Source organism: Homo sapiens, chromosome 12 (genome assembly GCF_000001405.40).
Source record: "Homo sapiens chromosome 12, GRCh38.p14 Primary Assembly".
Lineage (NCBI taxonomy): Eukaryota > Metazoa > Chordata > Mammalia > Primates > Hominidae > Homo > Homo sapiens.
The window spans coordinates 23608952-23632309 of NC_000012.12; the positions used below are offsets into that span (position 1 = coordinate 23608952).

The 23358-nt window shown below is 34.5% G+C and overlaps 1 protein-coding gene across 42 annotated transcripts in view; it reads right to left on the minus strand.

Annotated features, from left to right (window-relative positions):
- Positions 1-23358, minus strand: part of SOX5 (SRY-box transcription factor 5) — a 1033147-nt gene that overhangs the window by 79448 nt on the left and 930341 nt on the right. The window contains exon 10 of one of the 42 annotated variants that reach the window (XM_047429466.1): positions 23195-23357. The exons of the other annotated variants lie outside the window; for them this stretch is intronic. Within the exon in view, the coding sequence (XP_047285422.1) occupies positions 23283-23357 (75 nt within the window). The 3' untranslated portion in view covers positions 23195-23282. Of the gene's footprint in view, positions 1-23194; position 23358 lie in introns of those variants that run through there. 42 annotated transcript variants of the gene reach the window in all.

A 23358-nucleotide genomic window follows, 5' to 3' on the forward strand; every position in this document is an offset into this window, starting at 1 on the left:
GAAAACAATGAGACTATAAGTATACTGTAACTGTATGTCACTGTCGAAGGTGTTAAGAGAGAAGAAATGCATCAGTGTGTTCAGGTATGTTTTCATAGAAGAAATGGAGTTAAGGTGGACATAGAAAAAGGAGATGGCATTCTAGGAAGGCAGTACAATTAAAAGAAAGGCATGAGAGCAGGAATGAGCTAGTTGCTGCAAGGGAAATATAGAGATTGGTGTGGAACAGTGAGTGGTAGAAAGGGCAATGCATACATAGCCATGTTAGAGGAAAATAACATTAGTTTTGTAGGCTACACTCACCTTATGGAAGCTTTTGAAACATAAGCAAAAGAGTTTTAATTGAATATGTAGTAAGAGAAAGCCACTGACTGTTTGAGAGCAATATATATGATGTTTTTTAGCCAGAATATTGATAAGACAGAAATATCAGCTATGAAATTATCAACATTTAACAGTGATAATGCTGATCATAGGAACTTGAATTGCAGTAACAGTTGTGAAATGAAGACGGAAAAAATAATTTCAAGTTCATAGCATACTGGGCACATAAAAATTGCCAATTAACTGGGGAAAAGAAAAGACAAACAGAGGAACAGGATGATAATACAATGTATATGAAGTCTTCATAAGTATGTAAGTAATCTCACCCATCATCTATTCTCATTTGTGTATATTCATCATTTATCCTTTTAAGAAAGCCAAAACACATATACTATATTTTTCTTTTATTTCTTTCTTTCCTTCTTGACAAAGGAAGTATTAATTCACACAGAGAGGATTTCCCTGAATGACTAGATCCATTCAATCATGAACTTCCCCTAAAGTGTGGCTCAATAAAACACTTTTAAAAAATTATGAAAAGTGTGATCAGTTCTCCACCACCACCAACATAAGCTTGAATTGTATCTAACTTACTCAAGTCTAATCAGTAGTTTTTCTTATAATTTATTATTATGTGCACCAAATCACTGCTGGGCAGTGGGCTGGCAGTTCATTAACAGGCATTCTTTCTGCTCATCTCTAATGGCCCACTATGGGGCTAGAAAAGGTCTGGCAGGATAACAGATATTTTAACTTGTACTAATTAATTGTTGCTATTTTGGGAAAAAAAATAGTATAATTGTATTTGGATGACATAGCTTTTATGCTATGGTTAGAATCAATAGTATTAAATCAATCATGCTTTTATGAAGATACCCATAAAAATACCTTAAGCAAGTACTTTTCAGTGTGAGGAGTAGAGAAATTCTACAATCAGCTTATTTAAATTCTAAGCTAGTCTATTTCATTAATACCTAGAGGTGGTAAATTCTTGCCACTTTTCAATAATAGGTTACTTTCCCCAAATTGCTAAAAACACAACTTCTCTGATTGACTACTAGTCCACTGTCTAACCGCCATCTGGAGTATTTGGATTCAGTGCATTAGGCACTGACAAAAATATCTATCAAGATTTATTGCCCCAAACCATTTACTGACCAGTAAACTCCTTGAAGGCAGAGATTATGTCCCTGCTAATCAATGCTTTATCAGAAAATTTTAAAAACAAGGAACAGTAAAATTGAACAAATGCAGAAAATGACTATGTAAAATATTATTAATATAGATCTCTTGTACATATTTAATATATTTCATAATAGTGACTATACATAAAACAAATTTTTAAAATCCAAAATGAATTTGGCATGCTTGTACAATCCAAAGAATTAGAAAGAAAGGCTCATTAGTAATATAGATAAAATTCACATTCATTCACTCATTTCATTTGCTTGAGAGGAAAAAAATATGAATTTAAATCTTATCAGCATAAGAACAAAGTAAATTAATAACCTCATTGTAGTCATAATCATAACAGTAACTGAATGTCTATTTGCAAAATAAATACCAAAAATGGGTGAAGATTATTTGAAAAAAGTTAAAAGTATCTTTTCAAAAGGCAACAGAACCAAGAGTTGAAGCATATGGATATTCTGCAGTATTTTGGAAAAGACAGATGACAAATGCCTTCTTTTTGATAAATAAATATACACAATTTACTTGCCGAATCTTAAATATTTGTTATTTAGAAAGTAAAAGATATTTAGTAGGAGTTACGGTTGCTGGTAGGTATAAGCTGTTTCTTTGGGATCCTTTTAGTTTGCTTAAAGTTTAATTTTCTATTTTATAAAATTATTATTTGACCAATGTCTCCTCTTTCCCCCTTGCCTTCTACCCTGGTAATCACTATTCTACTCTCTCCTTCCATGAGTTTGACTGTTTTAGATTCCACAGGTAAATGAGATCACATGGTATTTGTCTTTCTGTGCCTTGCTTATTTCACTTAACAGAATATGCTTCAGGTTTATCCATGTTTTCACAAATAACAGGATTTTTTTTTCAAGGCTGAAAAGTATTCCATCGTGTGTGTGTGTGTGCGTGTGTGTGTGTGTGTGTGTGTGTGTATTTATACATATATCTCACATTTTCTGTATCCATTTATCTACTGATGGACAATAAGGTTGATTCCATGTCTTGGTTATCGTAAATAATGCTGCAATCAACACTGGAGTACAGATATCTCTTCAACATGCTGATTTCATTTCCTTTGGATACATGCCCAGAAGCGGGATTGCTGGATCTTTAATTTTTATTTTAACTGGGATCTTGCTACAGGTCTCCCTTTTGTGTGCCCAGGCAATCTGGATAAAGGCACAGGAGACAGAGATGATGCCATATACAGTCACTTACCCAGGAGCCAGCAGCATATGACAGTGTATGGTTTGATCCAACTATTTTCCTTTACTTCAGGCATGGATTAGGAGATGGAGATATTTCTACCTTATTGTGAAGACAGTGCAAAGTATGTTATGTCCACCATCCTCTCTCTACCCTTACTCTCCCCCTTTTCATCCTCCCTACATTTCTTCTCCCCCAAATCACCAACTTCATTAAACTTCATAGGAGAGCTGGGCACAAAAGGCATTTTAAATTAAAAAAAAAAAAACACATTAAGATTACAACTGAAATATGTCTTTCTTAAGTACTGTATGATAAAACATACTGATTCCTAAAGATAATTTGTGAACTTTTTACACTGTTATTATCTGAATGGAGAGTGATAAGAGCATGCATACCATTTAATACTATTTTTGTGAAATTGTTTAAAATTATTTTTATACGTATTATCCTTTTCTCCCAGTGTAATCTCATATCAAACACCAGTATATAAAACAGAGAAAGGAGAGGTATGCCATAAATGAATATCAATAAAATATATTAAAAATATGTAAAATTTATTGATATACATTAGATGTACATATTTTGAGGGTACATGTGATAATTTGATACATTCATATAATCCAAGTCAGGTCATTGAGATTTTTAAGTATTTTATTAAAATGTGACCAATGAGATTGTTTAGTTCACCCCAAGAGTTTAAGTAGGCATAAGGAAAAAGTTGTAATCCTTTTTCATCCTCAGTGATAAAGTCCTCACTCAAAAATAAATAGCTGTCACTTCTAAAATTGCACATAAACAAATATATAGACTTACATCTTCTAAAAGAACATTATAGAGCTAAAATCTTGATGATTAATAGCACCTCCCAGGTCAAATATACTTATAAAAATGGAAGATTTCTTTTGAGTCCAGGGTTTGAAATGTGGCAAGAACAATTAACATATATGCAATGTGTTAAATATTTGGAATAGAGATTTTAAAATATATGTCATCTATTATGATTTAAAAAAATTGTTGAATATGACCTGTTAAAGTTTAAATAAAACCTAAAAAGATATGTACTATATATATTTGACGGAAAAGTATTTGTTTATTTCTTCTTTCTCTTCCTGTTTTTAAGAGGAGGAACAGGGAATATCATTTGTGAGCAAAAATTCAGAAAGCAATTTCAAGGCTCCATAAGTGTTATCTTTATAGCTTAATTTCAGCTTCCTAATGTAACTTAAATGTGGAGTTTAAAGAGAAACTAATGTACTGGAGAAAATCTTTCAAAACACAGCAGCATGTTTCAGTATGAATAAATTTGCTTTGCCCATTATTTTTCATAATGTTTTTTCACATTATCATAGAAAATTATCATAGCAACTTGAGTTTAAACATGGACTTTCCCTAACACTGTCAGCATTTCTTTTGCATGTTCTTCAAGTGTAATGCATGAAAACCACGATAGGCCTTCACTGTGCTGAATACCAGGACAGAAGTACAGATAGGAACTCACATGTCGAAGGTATAAAAATTTATAATTCATAAGTCAATGAACTGCCTAATTAAACATGTTTCATTCTCCCGTCTTGACAAACCTATTTTCAAAATGACCTGGATGCAAATCAAAAGCAGAAGAGATACTGCTTCACACCCATTAGGACGACTCCTATCAAAAGAGAAAAAAAAAAAAGCACCAGAAAGTAACAAATGCTGGCAAGGATGTGGAGGAATTGGAAACTTGTATATCGCTGATGGGACTGTGCAATGCTCCTGTCACTGTGAAAAATAATATGGTGGTTCCTCAAAAAATTAATGATAGAATTACTATATAACCTGGTAATTTTACTTTTGGTCATACACAAAAAAGAATTGAAAGCAGGATCTCAAAAAGATATCTGTACACCCATGTTCACAGCAGAATTATTCACAACAGCCCAAAGGTAGAAATAATTCAAATGTCCACTGATGGATGAATGGATAAACAAACTGTGCTATATACACACAATGAATTATTATTCAGCCTTAGAAAGAAATGAAATTCTGGCACATGGTACAACATGGATAAACCTTAAAGGTATTATGCTATGCTAAGCAAATAAGCCACTCACCAAATAACAAATATAGTATGATTCCATTTATATGAATTACCTAGAGAAATTAAATTCATAGAGACAGAAAGCAGAATGGTGGTTTTCAGGGGCTCAGGGGAGGGAGGAATTAGGAAGTTAGTGTTTAATGACTACGGACCTTCAGTTTGGAAATCTGGAGGACAGGTTTGAATTTAGAATTCTTGGTCTCCTTGCAGCTCCATGTCAAAACCTGGTGGCCCAAGGACAGCAGGTTTGGGCCTGCGCCTGTGTCCCTCCTCTTCCCACCCCTAGCTCCATTCAAGAGACAAGGAATCGCTTCTGTCCTAAATAGGCTCATCATCTTGACTTCGACTGACTTGTAAAGAGCTTCTGAAGTGGGGGCCAGGATCTGACATGGCTGCAGTCCTGCTACATATGTCCTCAAGGAAGTGCAGGATGAAGTTAAAATGCAAGAATATTCCAGGCAGAAGGAACATCACGTGCAAAGCCATAAAGTTAACCTTCAAATCAACCAACAAAATATGTTTATTAGCATTTAAGACTTTTCTGTACACAGCAGAAGACCCTCCTCCCCCTTTTTGAAATAACACATTCCTTTTACTTCTCTTTGGCCAGATGTGAGGTAAAGCTATTTTGTTGTCCCCACTACTGGGGCAATGCTGGAAGAGACTGTAGAAAAAGAGATCTGGTTTCTTTCACTTAGCGTAACATTTTTGAACTCTCTCCAAGGTGCAGCATGTATCAGTAGCCTGTTATTGTACTGTTGAAAAGTATTTATTTGCATGGGTGTATAATATTTGTTTATCCATTTATCTAGCTGATGGATAGTTGGATGATGTTTTCCAATTTTCCAGTGAATAATCCTGCTATGAACATTCCGGTACAAGTTTTTGTGTGTTTTCATTTCTTCTGCTTATCCATGTCCTAGGATTGGATTTGTTGAGTAATGTGGTATCTTCATGTTTACCTTCTAAGGAAATTGTCAGACTTTTCTGAAGTGGCTGAACCATCTTTCATTTCCATAGCAACGTATGAAGATTCCAGTTTCTCTATATTTTCTTTCTTTTTTTTGGAAACAGAGTCTCACTCTGATGCCCAGGCTGGAGTGCAATGGCACAATCTTGGCTCACTGCAACCTCCGCCTCCCAGGTTAAAGCAATTCTACTGTCTCAGCCTCCTGAGTAGCTGGGATTACAGGCGTGTGCCACCGCGCCCAGCTAATTTTTTTGTATTTTTAGTGCAGACGGGGTTTTACCATGTTGGTCAGGATGTTCTCGAACTCCTGACCTCGTGATCCACCTGCTTCGGCCTCCCAAAGTGCTGGGATTACAGGCGTGAGCCACCGTACCCGGCCTTATATTTTCATCAATACTTGGTATTGTCTTTTTAATTATAACTATTTTGGCAGGTGTGAAGTGGTATCTCGTAGTTTTAATTTGCATTTCTCTAATGATGTTGAGCATCTTTTCATGTACTTATTAGCCATTCCTGTCTTTTTTGGTAAAATATGCATTCAGATCTTTTGCTTTTTTTAAAAAAAATTAAGCTGTCTTATTATTGAGTTGTAAGAATTACTTATATATTTGAGTTTTGTTTTATTTTAAATTTTTTAATTTTAGGTCCAGGGGTACATGTGCAGGCTTGTTATACAGGTAAACTTGTGTCAGGGGAATTGTTGTGTAGATTATTTTGTCACCCAGATATTAAGCCTAGTACCCAATTGTTATTTTTTTCTGTTCTTCTCCCTTTTCCCATTCTCTACCTTCAAATAGGCCCCAGTGACTCTTGTTCCCCTCTGTGTGTCCAGAAGTTCTTATCATTTAGCTCTCACTTATAGGTGAGAACATGCAGTATTTGGTTTTCTCTTCCTGTGCTAGTTTGCTAACGATAATGGCCTCCAGTTCCATTTATGTTCCTGCAAAAGACACGATCTCATTCTTTTTTTATGGCTGTATAGTATTCCATGGTGTATATGCACCACATTTATCCAATTTATATTTCTTTAGGTATATGCCCAATAATGGGATTGTATTTATATCCCGTAATGTATTTTACAAATTGAGCTGCCTTATTATTGAGTGGTAAAACTTCTTTATATATTTGAATTTGACTTTAAAGGGTAAAACCTATCAGAGAGACTGTGCAAGAGTCCAGTTTAATAGTACTGTATAGCTATTATCAAAATATTCATAATAATAAACACCATAATGGTGGAAAAAGGTAATACATATAGATAGTTACCTCTCAAATGAATTTTTTATATACTTACACAAAAAGTAATTTTTTATTCTTTAATTTTCAAAAATCCTAACAGAGGAGAGGTACAATGAGGGTTCTAAAGGGATATGTGTTCTTTGTATCCGTCAAGGAATACTGGGCATGCCAAGGTAGGACTCTGAACATTGACGACTTTCATTAACCACTAAGGTGACGCCTGGAAAAAATGAAGAGTAGACAGGGCTGACAGCCAGCTCTCAGGACTGAGACTCTTGGTCAAACCTGAGCGGAAAGGGACAGGGGTAGAGAATAGATGGAAAGAATTCTCCGCTAACCTCCTAAGTGGTTAATCCACAGAAGTGGGTGGAGGCTGGGATTGTGAAACATTTCTCCTGCTGCTTCCCCAGTTCTATCACAGACCATGGGGGAAAAGTGATTGGGGAAAGGTGCCTAGAGGAAAGTGGGAAGGGTTGTCACTTAATTTCCAGTCTGGAGTCCCCGTTGGGGAAGAATTCCTCCTGAAGGGAGTAAGGAAGGGTATACTAAGGAATAGAGTCACCGGGAGGAGCAACTTCACATACACATAATCTGAGAGATTTAAAATCTTTTGTATTTGTACACAAATTCTAATGAAACTTGATGGCAAGAAAAAAATGTATTACAGTGAAAGAATGAACAAACTCAGACTTGCTATAGATTTGTCCATATGAAGGAGAGCTAACAGCTGTTATGTCAGTGGAGCATAATTGAAAAAACAAAGTTGCAGTTGTTGGGTGTATAAGGGTTTGAATTATCAGGTCAAGCAAGAAAATGACTTGAGTGGACAAAGGCCTCAAAAGGCTGAAGAGTTAGTTGGTATCACCAGAGGTTAGTGACTGTCTGCTGAGGCTCAAGCCTGTAATCCCAGAACTCTGAGAGGCCAAGGTGGGACGATCACTTGAGGGCAGGAGTTTGAGACGAGCCTGGGCAACATAGCGAAACCCCATTTCAACAAAAACTTAAAAATAAAATAAAATTAGCTGGGCATAATGGCATGTGCAGTCCTAGTTACTTAGGATGCTGAGACAGGGGGATTGCTTGAGCCCAGCAGTTCAAGGCTGCAGTGAGCTGTGATTGTGGCACTGCACTCCAGGCCTGGGCAATAGAACAAGACTCTGTCTCAAGAAAAAAAAAAAAAAAAAAAAGATAGATGGCAGGAGGATAAGCCATCAGGGGAAAAATGTTACCAACTTCAGAAATGAAATTTTCTGCCTTCAGAGAAAACAGGTGAGCCACTGGGAAGCATGCTTGGTGAAATAGGGGGCTTGGAGGTATGGGCTCCAAGGCATAAATTATTATTATGACCCACACTTCCTTGAAAATATCACTCTTGCCTGATATAACTTGGAAAAGCTTGGATACAAAAGTAAATAATTACATCTGGCTATAGTTTGGGTTTTACTGTTAAAAAGCTATAGTGAATACATGTACAGAAGATATAATGTAATTTATTTAAAGCTGCTATCACCAAATATTAATAATACATAGACAATCTTGATTTTTCTATTGCAAATTCAGTCTTACTCAGTGTGATACTTGGATAGAATATGAAGCTATCAATGAGGGGTGGAGTGTTAGGAGGGTGTGAAGACAGCATCCTGCTAAAAATTAAAGATACATTTGAACTTACTTAAATCTTAAGACCTTTTTCACAGGTATGATGCTCTCATGCTGTCTCTGTCACACTGCAGATACTAAAGCCTATAAATAAGAAACACTTCAAATGCACGGGGTTTTAAAAGGCTTTCTTCATTACACACCAATAAATCTTAAACAGCTAGAAAAAAAAAACATTTTGACTTTTATAATTGAAGCAGTTCCTTAAAGAACCAGATATATTTTGCGAGAGTCATGTAAGAACACCCCAACTGATAGTTTCTCTTTCGCTCACTCCCTCCCTGTATTTCTACTCCATAAGCCATCTTCGTGTACTGCACAGTAATCCATTACAATATGTTCCAACATCTGCCTCCCCATATGATGTATGACCTATTCGATTGACCCTTTTTATGCCGCTCCAGACTTGCTGTTTGTTACTGTGGGAGGATGAACACTCTGCATCTATTCCTGAGGTCACCAACCAGCAAATACATCTCCATCTGGCAAGGTAAGAAGGACACTGGCTGGAAGGCTCTTCAGATCTCTCTATGTATCAGTGATTATACTTATATCTTTAATTAGTTTAATTTAGGGAAAAATATTGCTGAAATTCCCTTCAAAGCAACGGTAAGAAGAGAAATGCTTGTTCATCAGGAGAAAAATTTCTGTGGTTACTAAATTTCATTATTTAATTTGGGTATTATGAGAATTACAGTATTATCAGAAAGAGTTCTAAAGCAAACACTTGTCTTTGGCTAAGTTCATATTTGTGAAATCACTGTTCAGTGTATCCCAACAGATTGGGGGGTAGTAATCAAGCCATTTTTAAACAGCATTCTAACTCAATATAAAGACAATTTGAGTTATTTCATATTAAATCAGACTACATATTATTTTGCATGTCAAAAAACATACTTCCAGAGTACATACTTGCTGGAGGCTTGCAAATACTTGAAACACATAAGGGGAGGAAGTACAAGAACCACGATTTTCTCCATGACTACGATATGTTAATCATTTTGCTAGAAGCTTGCATACTATTTCAGGGATCACCATAACAATTTTGTGAGTTTGGTGAGAAAGATGAAAAACGAATTGAACAGTGGTTCAATAACTTGCCAAAGGTTAAACAACTGGTAGTATCAGAAGTCCAAGTGGCCCTGAAATTCTTCTGTGATGTAATGCTACTATGGGAAAACACTTTCCAGATAAAATGTTCTATGATTAAATTCATCTCTTTTGCAGTGGGATAGAGGTGGAATCCCCCACCTGCTGGCCAGTGAAAAAAGGAATTTCCCCTGAACTCTGAGTCAAAAATAATAGTTTCCAAGGCCAAGGGTTAAAGGCTTCAAGAGTGAAAGACTTCTTGAGTCAGTAGTAGCAGAACTCAACGCTCCCTGAAGAAACCACAAAGTCACTTAAGTTTGCTATTATTGTTGTTGTTTTGGTTGCTGTTTTGTTTTGCTGTTATTACTAACAAACAACACATATGAGAGGTTTTAAAAAAGGACTGCTTCCTACGGATTCCGCTCTTACTTTTTTCTTCCTCCTTCCCTCATAAACCTTTAAGATTAAGAAAGTATCACATACAAATATTAGTTTTGGCTCTTTGAGTATACAAATTATGCTAAATAAAACTACATTTCAGGGGAAATCTGGACAGAGAATAACAGCAGCAATAATAATCATAATAGCTGAAGTTTATAGAATGCTTACTGTGAGACATGTCCATGTCATATCTCTTGGAACCTTCTCAACAACCTTAGGGAATAGGTATTATTTTTACTTTATGGAGCAGGACATTGAAGCCAAGAAAGAGTAAAAGTCATCTGTCCAAAGTTGCATAGGTAAGAGATCAAGCTGAAGTTGGAATCCAAATCTTTTTGACTTTTTACAGAGCTCTTAACTCTTAGCCTATGTCTTAGGAATCTATTTTCTGGTCATTTTAATACAGTAGTAGGGTTTGTGTGCTCTGAAACAAAGAGACAAACCTGGGAAGGGTAATTCAGAAAGCACCTTTTATGGAGGCTGGGCTCTTCTGATAAAAAGCGATAGTATTGGGGATGCAGAACAAGAAAGAAATGTGAAGTGTCCAACAGGAAATTTTTCCTGGCATCTTTCATCCATTTACTTCCTTTTGGCTACTGCCAGTAAAAACCGCTTCAGTGTGGTTTTCTTCTCAATTTGATATGTATTTTAACCATTTAAGTAATTGTAGGAAACAAGGTAATGCAATATGGAGAAAGCTGTTATACTTCTTATTATCTTTTATCATTCATGCTTTTATTCATGGAAAAAAATTATAAAATGCCAGTTTCATTCTAGGTCTTTAGCTCCATAGAGCTTACATAGAACAAGAAAGCCATCAATGAAATAATTACACAAATGAAAAGTAAAATCCCAAATGTGCAAAATACTACAAAATAGAAGTATATGGTGCTCTAAGAGCATGCAAGCGAGAGCTACACTACAGGCAGGCAAATCAGGAAAGACTTTCCTGTAACTATGAATACCTGGAGGTCAGAAGGATGAGCTGATATAATTACATACATACAGGAGGAAAAAAAACTGGCAGAAAAACTACGTGCTGGGAGGAAACATGACAAGTTTGTAGTGTCAGAAAGAAGCCAGTGAGACGCAGTGCAGTGGGAGAGATGTCTACAAAGGTAGATGGGAATATATAGTAATTTAATAAGAGGAATGACAGAATTAGATTTCTATTTCTACAAGATTAGTCTAGACATAATATGGAGAATAGATTGGGAGGGTTTGTTTCACCTACAACCCACTTTTAATTGAAGTAATATCTACCTAATCACATTTTTACAGATTTAAAATCGATTACAGAATAAATCTATATATATAATTTTCAACATTCTGAGCCTCATCTTTATTTAAATATTTCCTCTTTCTTGTATAATTTATATGAAGAATTAATCATATAAAACTCTATGCTTTGAGTAAATTCATGGTGGCCAACCTCGATTTTTCTAGACCATTTGAAAAAGAAAAAGGTATAGCAAAAATGAGTCCTTTTCACTACCCCAACACATATAACTCATAAATCAATTAAAATAACAATAACACACTCCAATAGCACCTTGCATTTACAATTCATTTTTACTTTCATTGACTTTTTTGATCACAATAGGCTTCATTTTCAATTGCACAGGACCTATTTCTCACGTACCAACGAAGCAATACAGAGAAACAACTCTTAACTTCTGCTCTCCTGCCTTAAATTGATGCATTCATTTAATAAATATTTATTGGGGACCTATTATGTGCCAAGCACTACTCTAAATAATTAGAAAATGTCAGTAAATAATTATCTCTGCTTTCATGAAAGGATTTTTAAACTTTTTCCCAAGAAGACTTGCAAGAATTTAATCTTTCATTATTTGTCACATAGTTGTTTAATATTTCTCTATTTGACACTACATATTAGTTATGATTATTATAATTGAGAACTTATACATCCACAATTCTTAACATTTATAAGTAAATGTTGTTTTTGAGAGAACTAAAGTCATTCTTAAAGTATATGTTTGAGGGATACGTGCAACAACATGGATGAACCTTGAAAATATTAGGCTAAATGACATAAACCAGACACAAAAGGACAAGGTACTTAGGATATGCAAATTCACAGAGACAGAAAGTAGAATAGAGCTTATCAGGGGATGGGGGAAGAGGAAATAAGAAATAGGAAATAATTGATAAATACAGAGGTTCTATTTTGCATGATGAAAATGTACTGGACACAGACAGTGGTGATGGTTATATAACATTGTATATAATGCTACACAGAACTGTACACTTAAACGTGGTTAAAATGTAAGTTTTATGTTATTTATATTTTACAATTAAAAAAGTGCATGATTAAGAGGGCGTTAGAAAAAATCACTGTTTTCCAAGACCACATTAGGCTTTATTTCTCTACAACAATTTCCTCCTATTTTATTCCCATGTGTTGGTATATGAACTAAAGAGAACAGGTGCAAAGGGGGGAAGAAATATTGTGATTTCAAAGTAAAAGAAGGTTGGAAATATTAGATTCTTTAAAAAATACTCAACATACACCCAGCTTTGGAAACAAATATAAATAGAAGAGGAAAGAGTACCAGATCCTAAATCAACCAAATCCAGTAATGCCTTCCAAGTTAAAGAATGCTCTGAAACAAGAGCTATGAGATCAACCCACCCTTCACTGACTTTGCAAAAACCACGGCATTTGCTAGTCACACCGTAAAAGGTAGTTCTCTCTTCATTTTCCCTTCCTACTCCAAAGCTAGCTTCTTTTTCATATTCAGATGACTGTTTATGAGCTCAATCCTGTTTCAACTGTCACTCTTTACATCAAGGAAAGATAGATGGGACACACCAACCCCAACCTAAATGACCTTTGGATGTGACAAGAGTTTTAGGTCAGCCTTGCTAAATGGAGGCCTTGGTGTATCGAGACATGCCTTGGGGTGAAATTTACAGTGAATTTATTATCTCCCAATGCCCTTTGGACTGCTTCCCACCATCAAACACCATGGCAGCACTTGGAACAGGAAGAAATACATTAACTGGAATCTGATCGTTTTAAAAGGTTACAGCTGCCCAAATATAATTTAATTTCATACTTGCCCTTTGAGGGTTTGGTGTATATTTTCATTTTATGACTGCAAATGATAAAGCTCTTAAGATTCCAGGCAATAAAAAGAGAAAAAAAAAAGTATTTTAAGGGCTAGAAGTCTATTCAGTTCATATTCCAATGAGTGAAGTGACAAATTAGCTTTTTTAAAAAAATCTAATATTTCTCTTTTTTATTTGGATCATCACTTATTCCTTTTCTGATCCTACACTTCAATGGTTGGTTGATATCAGTATGTGAACTCCAAACTCAGATCTCAGCGAATTTGAAAATAAAAAGGGTGATTTTTTTAAAATGAAGAAAAATCCATCAGATGTGAAGTGAAAATATTTTAGTACAAGAAACAAATATTTTTCCAGTAGCATTTTATCTCACATAATTGGGAAAATTTACCCATTAAAATATATCAACACTGCGTCAACTTACCATTGATCTGGTACATCACACTTCCATAAACTTTAATAAAAGATTCACAAAATCCTACTTAAATACTATGCTATACCATCATTAATTTAATTGGTAAATATTATTACTATTATTTTATTGACAGAAAATCAGAGATATGGTATTGTTAATGCCACAGAATAAGTCAGAAAATCAGAAACGAAATTCAGATAAACTCATCTATAGTCTATTATTTTAGCCATTAAAAATAAAAAACAAACTTTTGCCACCTCTTTTTTAACTTGATACCTTTCCAGAAGACTTAAACATTCTTTAAAGATCAATCCAATAGAGTTTGAGGAAATGCATACTTTGGATTCAAGGGTAGTAATGAGAAAAACAACATGGTGAAACTTTTAAACCATACAGGTCAAATGTAACAAAGTTGTGTTTGTGTGTGTGCAGGAGACTGGCACACACATGCATATGCCATTCATCCATTCTTTTATTCAATCAGCAAAAACATTTTTTGAAAGGTACTGAGTTAGATCCTGTGAAGTTTATGCTTTTAAAAAATATTTCAATTATAAAAGAGTACTCCTAACATATGAACAGTAGAGACAGAAGCATAAAGCATTTAAGTATTATTATAAGACAAATGTATTAGATAATTATAAACACTGATATATTTTTATTAGCAAATTTTAATTTGATCTTGATATGCTACTGTGTTAAGAGTGTTTTGCACATTGTTTAATCTGCATACCAATACCATGGGGCAGGAAATATTACTATTCTTATTTCTAGATTATAAGATGTAGCCCAGCCCCAAGTAGCAAATCTAGTGGTTACTAAGACTCAAATGCTCTAGATGGTACTTAGAAACAGTGTTATTCATTTACTTGCTCATTTATCCCTCTTTCATTCAAGAAATATAAAAGACCTACCTAAAGTGAGAAATATTACAAAGCAAATATTATCTAGGAATCAATTCTCAGAAGTTTTATCAAAAATAATCTTATTCACATTTCTACAAAAAAAGGTATAAAATTGACCAATAAACATACAAAAATATACTCAACCACTAATAATTAATGAAATGAAAACCCAAATCACAATTAGATATCACCTCACATCCATTAGGATAACAATCATAAAAAAAGAAACATACAATTACCACATGATCCAGCAATTCCACTTTTGGGTATATACCGAAAATGGACTGAAAGCAGGATCTAGAAGAGATATGTGTATATCCAATATTCATAACAGCATTCGTCATAATAGCCCAAAGGTAGAAATAACTCAAACGTCCATAGATGGAGGAATCAATAAACAAAATGTGGTACATAGATACTATGGAATATTATTCAGTCTTAAAAAGGCATGGAATTCTAACACATGCTACAACATGGATAAACATTGAAGACATTATGTTAAATGAATAAAATCAGATATGGAAGGCCAAATACTGTATGATTAAGTAACAAGAGGTGCCTAGAACAGTTAAATTCATAGAGAGTGAAGGTAGAATGCTGACTACCAGAGATGAGAAGATGGGAGAATGAGGAGTTGTTGAAAAATGGGTATGTAGTTTCAGTTTGGGATGATGAAACGTTCTGGAGACGGGTAGTGGTGATGGTTGTACAACAGTGTAAATGTATGTAATGCCACTGAACTGTGTACATAAAAATGGTTAATATGGTAAATTTTATGTTAAACATATTTTACCATGATAAAAAGAAACCTACAGAGGATTCACACAAATTAGTAAAGTTTTAGGGCACAATTAAAATTTTTAAGAATAAAATTAAAAGTAGAAATTTACCTCAGCAAAATAAGGTGAGGAGTAATATAGAGAGAAAACCAAGTGTTTACTTTCTAGAGCAAATGCTGGATTGAAAGACACTAAACAGAACTGAAAGCAGTTATAAAATGGAGGGAGCGAAAGAACACCTATTACAATGTAAGACACCTGGTTCCAGCCCACGCTCAAACTCCACTGTCTTATCAGCCAGGCTTAGACTTTCTGAGGAGGAGATTGGAGAATTGCTTTCTGAGGTTGTCAAGGAGATCAAGAGAATTTTGGGGGTTGATGGAACTGTCCCATATCCTGATTACAGAGGTGGTGAAAATTCAGAATTGTACATCCAAAATATAGCCAATTTTACTGTATAATAATTTTAGAAATTACAAAACAAAAGATACAAATGCAACAAGATAAAAAGGATCTCACTCAACAACTTTGACTTTTAATTCTTAAACATTTTGGCCTTTCTTCCTAAGAAGGAGTTAGAAAGTGGGAATTTGCTACCATTTTAGATTATAAAGGTTTTCTAAAACACTAGCTAACTTAGATTGATCCCTATATATGTATAATATACCATATGCGTATAAAGAATGAATAGCAAATGTTTTAAGTGTGCAGGAGAGCAGGTAGTCAGGGTTCACCATACACCATTTAAGATAATAAGAATATAACGTAATGATAGTAGACTCTTAAACAAACAAAGTGTAAAGCAATTCTTTCCATTTCAACTGATGCTAAGAAACCAATTGTGTAGTACTTTCTGAGTACAAAAATAATGAGCTGTGCTTCCACCTCTACGTTTTTCCTTGCCAAGAGAACTCACACTTCCTTCCCAATCTCTGAAACACAGTTTGAAAACATCTCATTCTAATGGGAGAGTGGGTGAAAGTGGGGGCTGTTACTGGTGTTACGGTCTAAATGGAATCCTCTCTCTTTAAAGTTATTTGGCTTTATTAATACAAAGAGATGAAATATGGATGAAAACATTTGAAGGCTTGTATCTTCTAATATATATGATGTTATCAATTATATTTAGACAAAACAATCCCAGATATCTTTTTCTTTGATATCCACCATCCTTGCCACTTGAAATCCCCAATTCCAGCTCTTGACTCATGTGCTCACATATGGATTACTAACAGAATTGTTCAGCCAACAGGCAAATATTTGTTTTTGTTTTTTGTTGTTTGAGACTAAGTCTCGCTCCGTTGCCCAGGCTGGTGTGCGGTGGCGTGATCTTGGCTCACTGCAACCTCTGCGTCCTGGGTTCAAATGATTCTCCTGCCTCAGCCTCCTGAGTAGCTGGGATTACAGGCGCCTGCCACCACGCCGGCTAATTTTTGTATTTTTAATAGAGATGGGGTTTCACCATGTTGGTCAGGCTGGTCTTGAACTCCTGACCTCATGATCCGCCTGCCTCGGCCTCCCAAAGTGTTGGGATTACAGGCATGAGCCACCGCGCCCGGCCTCAAGCAAATGTTTCTAAAGAAGACAGTCCCTCCATTGTTTCACAATTGTGGGAGAATAAAAACATAGCTAGAACTTGAAGAAAAAAGAGAGGAGGAAAGTATTGAAGAAAATAGTTAAGGGGAAGAAAGAGGTAAAGAGGAATTAACAGAGGAAGGTAGTTAAAAATAGAGGAAAAAATGAAGAAAAAAGGAAAGAGAAAAAGAAAGAGACAGAGAAACGGAGAGAGATAGTCAAGAAATAGGAACAGAAAGGTAAATATTTGGAAATTCCTATTTTTAAATCTTTAGAAGCCCTAAGGACCAAAAAGTATATGGTGTCCATCTAGTTGGCTATGCAGTTCAAAATAAAACAGCATTCTGATTTCTGCTATGAAACTACTTTATGTCCAACTTGTCATTTACTTATTTATTTCTAGATGGTCCTTCTTTTTCATGTGTAATCATGTTCTTAATGTTCTTAGGTTGTCTCTTGGGTTATCTAGCCCTGGTCTGACCTGCTCATCTTCCTTCTTATTCCATGGAGATGGAATGAGAATAATTAAAACTTTCCTGCTTAATTGGATCTTCAGTGCTGGCTTGACAATTTTCAAGGTTCCAAAGCATTTCTTTCGAATGCCTCAAATCAATGCTTGCCTCATTATTCTTCTCCCATTTTTTCCTTGATAGCACATGAATAAATGTGTCCATGAATCAGGAAAGTCCACTCACAAGGTGCAGAGTTTCCTTCTGGGGATTTCTGGGCTCTTGGCTGCTTTCATTAGTGCTTTTTTTTTTTTTTTTTTTATCTTATCCCTTTCTCCATGAGATATAGGTAGATAGCTATACTTATAGGTATTTAACAAATAAGAAAACTTGAGTGCTAAGTAGGTTAAAAGACATGAGACCAGATTCATACATCACTTCTGAGGCAGGTTGAGACTAGAACCCTTAATCCATTTATGCCAGAGGTTGCAGTTTTTTTGTGTGTGAAAAAGAAGACACTGGCAATGACCTTAAGCAGTAGGATATAAAGAACTCCCACAAGCTTAGCATTCCAATAACGGAACACCGGGCATAAATGCGTTAATTCACTGCTGTATTTGTAGAGCAATATGGGAGGTTAGAATGGATCATCATAGGTAGGCCAGCTATTTTGGTTGCCTTTATAATGCCCTAATTATTCATTCTTGCTGTAAAACTCTCTTTATTATGACAAATACTGCAAATTTCCAGTAACACAATGGCTTGCCCTTCCAAGAGGAATGTTTGTTCCTTTCACAAATAATTGTCAGTGCTATTAAAGCAAAGCTCTAGTAACTTTTACGGAATGGAAAGAAAGAGAGACATAGATTATTTGTATTTTTAGTAAGAATTGAAACATACATTTTTGTAATCTGACATTCAGAAGAAAAGATTTTTATACTTAAGGGATATTTTGTTTTCATAAAGACGTTCTGCTTGCATTAAATATGAGGACTTGGCTTCCAAAGGTGTTCAACCGAAACTTGAATTAAGATGAATTTCTCTATTTGCCTTAAACCTTTATACTGCAGAATATAATTTCTGCATCCAAGAAAGTTACTTGCTAACTTGAAATATGGATAGGCTCTTTGCCAGTTTTATACCCTTGAATCTAGGAGATAATGATGAATATAACAGCTAATGAGGCTGAATGCTTACACTACGCTGAGTATTTCGTGTGTGCCATGTCATTTAATCCTCACAACACCTTTATCATGTAGGAATAACAGTATCTCATTTCACAGGTGAAGACACTGAGACTATGAGATATTCAATATCTTGATCAAAGATACATGCAAATAAGGCCTGTGTTATCCTAGAGCTCAAGCTCATAACCCATTATATCAAACCTACCATTTAAATATTATTACTTGTAAGTTTTAACATTTGTAAATGTTTAAATAAAATTTAGTGGAGCATGTTTTAAAGGAAAAAAAAAACACCTCAAGTCATGAAAGTTATCTAACTGGTTACTCACTCTCAGTATACTAGTATACTACTAACTGGTTACCGTGCAAATATTCTATGTACAAAAACTTGATATTTTATGGTTTTATATTGTATTTAATGCTAGGCTTGTATCTTAGGTCACACAAAAACATCAAAATTCAAAATTTCTCTGGAAGAAAACCAGCAGCAGCATAAATCAAACCAAAACAAGAATAAAAATAAAGAATGTGTAAGGGCGTTTACTTTTTTTATTGTTTGGTTTAACTTTTTTTGTTGTTGTTTGGTTAAGTGTCTTTGCTTATCTCCTTTCTGTTAATCAAATATTTTAGTTATACTATTCCTAATAATTTAAAATTTCTTTTAAACCAAAGAATGAAAACCAGGTGTGGGGGTGGGGAACTAGCCATATGAAAAATACTTGGAGCACATATTTAAAATAGTAGGAGTCATATGCTACAGTATAGTGAAATTTCGGATGGAATTGTCTCTGTTACCTTAAGCAACTGTTACAGATGAAAGGACAATATTTTCTATAGTTCTGCTTCACTCCATAAAGGAAGTAATTGTAACTTTCACTAACACTATTACTTTTAAAATTATATGTTGAAGAAGTTCTAGTAGTAGAGAAAGCAAGACATAATATTGTTGTAATTTTCATGTTAGAGGCATTAATTACGCTGCCCCAAAGCTCACTGTAGCAAATAATTTGTGAGCATACTTTGAGTCTGTTCCTCCGTTTCTCCTTGTTCACTTTCTTCATTCAAGGAGCAGTTGGATAAGAAAAAGGAGTACGGCATTAAGAGAAAGGTCAAGATTAAGAAAAATGGAAAAACTAGAGTTCATCCCTCCCTTTCCTCTTGTTTTCGTACCCTCAATTTGGCAGGAAAATACTGAAACTTCCACAGGAAACAGCAAATTTGAAATGTGCAGGGCTGGCTTAAGCTTTTTTTTTTTATTTTTATTTTTTCTGTAGGAATCAAATAGGGCTCTATTTTCAAGTCTTGTGAAGACACTTGCCAACCAAACCCAGCTCGAAATTGTCATGTGGTTTTTCTTCTTGGTCCTTCTCTCAGAACAGTTCATTCATGACTGCAACGTCTTATCTGCATGATTATATAATCATTTTTGAATACTATCTTTCTTCTAAGAAGCAAATAAAATGTCAACAAGACTTGTGATGTAAACAATCTCACTTTGAACCTTCTATGTACAAATAGATATGAAACAGCACGCTTCTCTGTTGTTTTGTTTTCTAAATTCCTTGATCTTTCAATAGCTTTCCACAAAAGAATTAATTCACAGAGCACAATCACTGAACTCAGCAAAATGAAAGCAATTCAGAAGGTTGCCATTGTTACCAATATGCAAATCCTAACCATTGTTTTATTCATTCTTTCTTAATTTAATGGCCTAAGTGCAAAATTAACAATTTCTCTTCCTATCCTTTTAAACGAAACAACTTAAAAATAACATATACAAATATATGCATTTATTTTTAAGAATATCATGGCAAAATGGGAAGAAGGTAGATTTAATTTTCAGTTGCTAGGATTCCGGGCACCCTTTTGTTAATATCTGTTTTAGCCAGGTCACTATTTAGAGTCTAAATTGCCTCATCCATAAAATTAAGGAGCTGGAATAGAAGAATGGTTTTTAAGTTTTGCTTAGCAGCAGAAATCTTTAACTCAAACAATTTTAACCAGTGGAACTTAATATATAAAACAAATAAAAGTCAATGGTACTATCTGGAGGGTGCTTGAACATACTTGGAGTCCGGTGAATAGTTTGAAACAACGTTTTCAACCATCTGTGAGGTCTTTTTCATTTCAAATACACTTGTTAGAATGATAGGTTGTTTGCCTTTCTTCAAACTCTATTCCACTTTCATATTTCATTCATTCTCTTTCATTTCAACCTCCTCTATCATCCACCAAGGATCCTTGACTGATTCATCTTTGCATTTCTTATAATGCTTAGCTCAATAGCTTACAAAGAATAAATATTTGCTGAATAAATAAAGATTCCAGGATACTATGGGTCTATAAAAATAATTCACTTTCATATTCAAGTTTGAAATAAAACTGTTTGGTCAAATAAAAATTTTCTCAATTCAAGAAATAATTTTGCTGTAGACAACATGTAGGTGGAATAAGGGACATGTATCCTAGTGTATCAAGGACATGTATCTATTACCTAGGAAATAAATAAGCTTTGAATGGCTATACAAGAAAATATTTTTATATGATTTATAAAAAAGTTGCATATTACATTAAAAGCACCTATGTAAAAATAATTTATTTTAGACTTTGTAAGAAATTTATTTAGAATAGTTAGAGGCAGCACATAGAAACAATTCATTTGCATTACCTCCATGGAAAAATGGGAATTGACTGGAGATGTTATTCTCATTTTACAGATATAAATATTGTAACAAGGAACGAACCATAGCAAAATATGAAAAACTACCCTTCATGTAACTGCCCAGATTGTCTTCTGGATAAGTAAACTCATTGCCTCCCATAGATTCTTGCGATGGGCCTTTATTTTATACCACAGAGATGAATGAAATTATTTCTTCAAAAATAAGACATTTTGTCTCAGTTTTATTAACACACTTTAGTGCTGCTCTGAAACGTAAGGAAAGTCTGCCATGCCCTAATTTTCAAGACTTCCTTTAAGCAATAACAAATAGTTCTCAAATCTACTAATAACAATTATTAATCAGCTAATACTATTAAATATTAACTCAAATCCAGCACATGGTATTTGAGAAATAATACATTTATTGTTCCAAGACTTTGCATGCATTATTTCATTTAATCCTCAACAATAAGAGGTCATTTATACCCACTTTACAGACAAGAAAATTGAGGCATGGAGAGGTTAGGTAACTTGCCCAGAGTCACAGAGCTTGAAAGTAACAGTATGATAATTTAAGGAAGAGATGGCTGCAAGAACCACACTTATAACCATTATGTTATACTGCCTCTCACTAAACAAAGTGCTTCTTAAAAGATTAATCTAAAGACAATAGCTTAAAAAGATAAAATTGCTTTCATCATTTTATCTTTCCTCTAATTATCCCCTAAGACATTAAATTTGTGTGTGTGTATCTATACATAATTAAGTACATTTTTCTGTGTATATTTAATTAAGACTCCACCCTATGTTACAAGTTGTATGTAATGCAATTTGTATGTCCCAGTAGCATGCTTTGACTAAACCATACGAATAATGGATAAAAATCCATGGATAATATTAAATAGTTTTCTAGTATCAACAGCAACAACAACAGTAACAAAAACCCCAGCATTTGTTCCTCTTAAGATGCATCTGTCTTCACATGGGTCATTGGTCCTATTAAGGTGATAACTCTTATTTAGGTAAAATTTTACTCCGAAGATTGAATTTGTCTTCATAAAATATTCCTTAAATAAATTAAAGAATACTAGTAAAATAAACTAAACCAACAATTAGGCTGAAGAACAAATTTCTAAGATAAACATAATCTGTGAACTTGAAACACATTAGTTGCCCTCTCTTCTTATCCACAGCCAAAACTAGAAAACTGAATATTTCTGTTTTTCTTGATAAAATTTAAAAAAGTATACTTTAAAAATTTCAATAAATTGGTATTGCTCATAGAATTACATCTACTGCTGGTCTTGGGACAGCAGTTCTTTTATGTATGTTTATTAGCCCAGAAACATTTTAAAGTTACCTAAAACATGTTTTGATTAAGATAACACAGGATACTATCAAGGAATGGGCATGGACTTGTGACCAGAAAACCTGGCACTGACTGAAGTTATATAGCTTTAGTATAGGTAATAACAAAATTTCAAATATAATTTTAAAGTTTACCATTTATTTAATCGACCATTACAATAAAAATGAATACTTTGGAAAAACACACGTGTACTGATGTTTCTGTCAGCATGTAATAAGACACCATGAAGCTGCTGAAAGCAAGAAAACACAGAAATAGTATGAAAAAGACACTGTGTGTACTGACTCCATTGTCCAAATGTCAACACCTCCCAGGAACTCTAGGGGTGGTAATAACTATGGAAGCAGTTCCTAATAGGTTCTTCCTTAAAGGGGATTCTCGACAAACTGCTGGGCTCTGACTCTAGCCCATATGGGCTTGGAAAAGTCAGAGAAAATGTTGGCTGCACTTTTTCAGGCCTATTTGCATATGTTCTTTAGTATGCAAAATGTCTCTGTATATAATTTAATTGTTGTTGGGGTTTTTTTGCCTCTATTAATACATATGCAAATGACTCACTCTTGCAGCTGTGCTGTATTAATCATATGTGTGCTTCTGTCTGTCTGCCCTCCAGGCTCAGGGTCGAAGGGAGAGGAAAAGAAGGAATTCAGTCTTTTAACCTGCAAGAAAACTCACTCATGCAGACAGAAGTCCAACAGCAAACAGCACACCAGGGTTGCGAC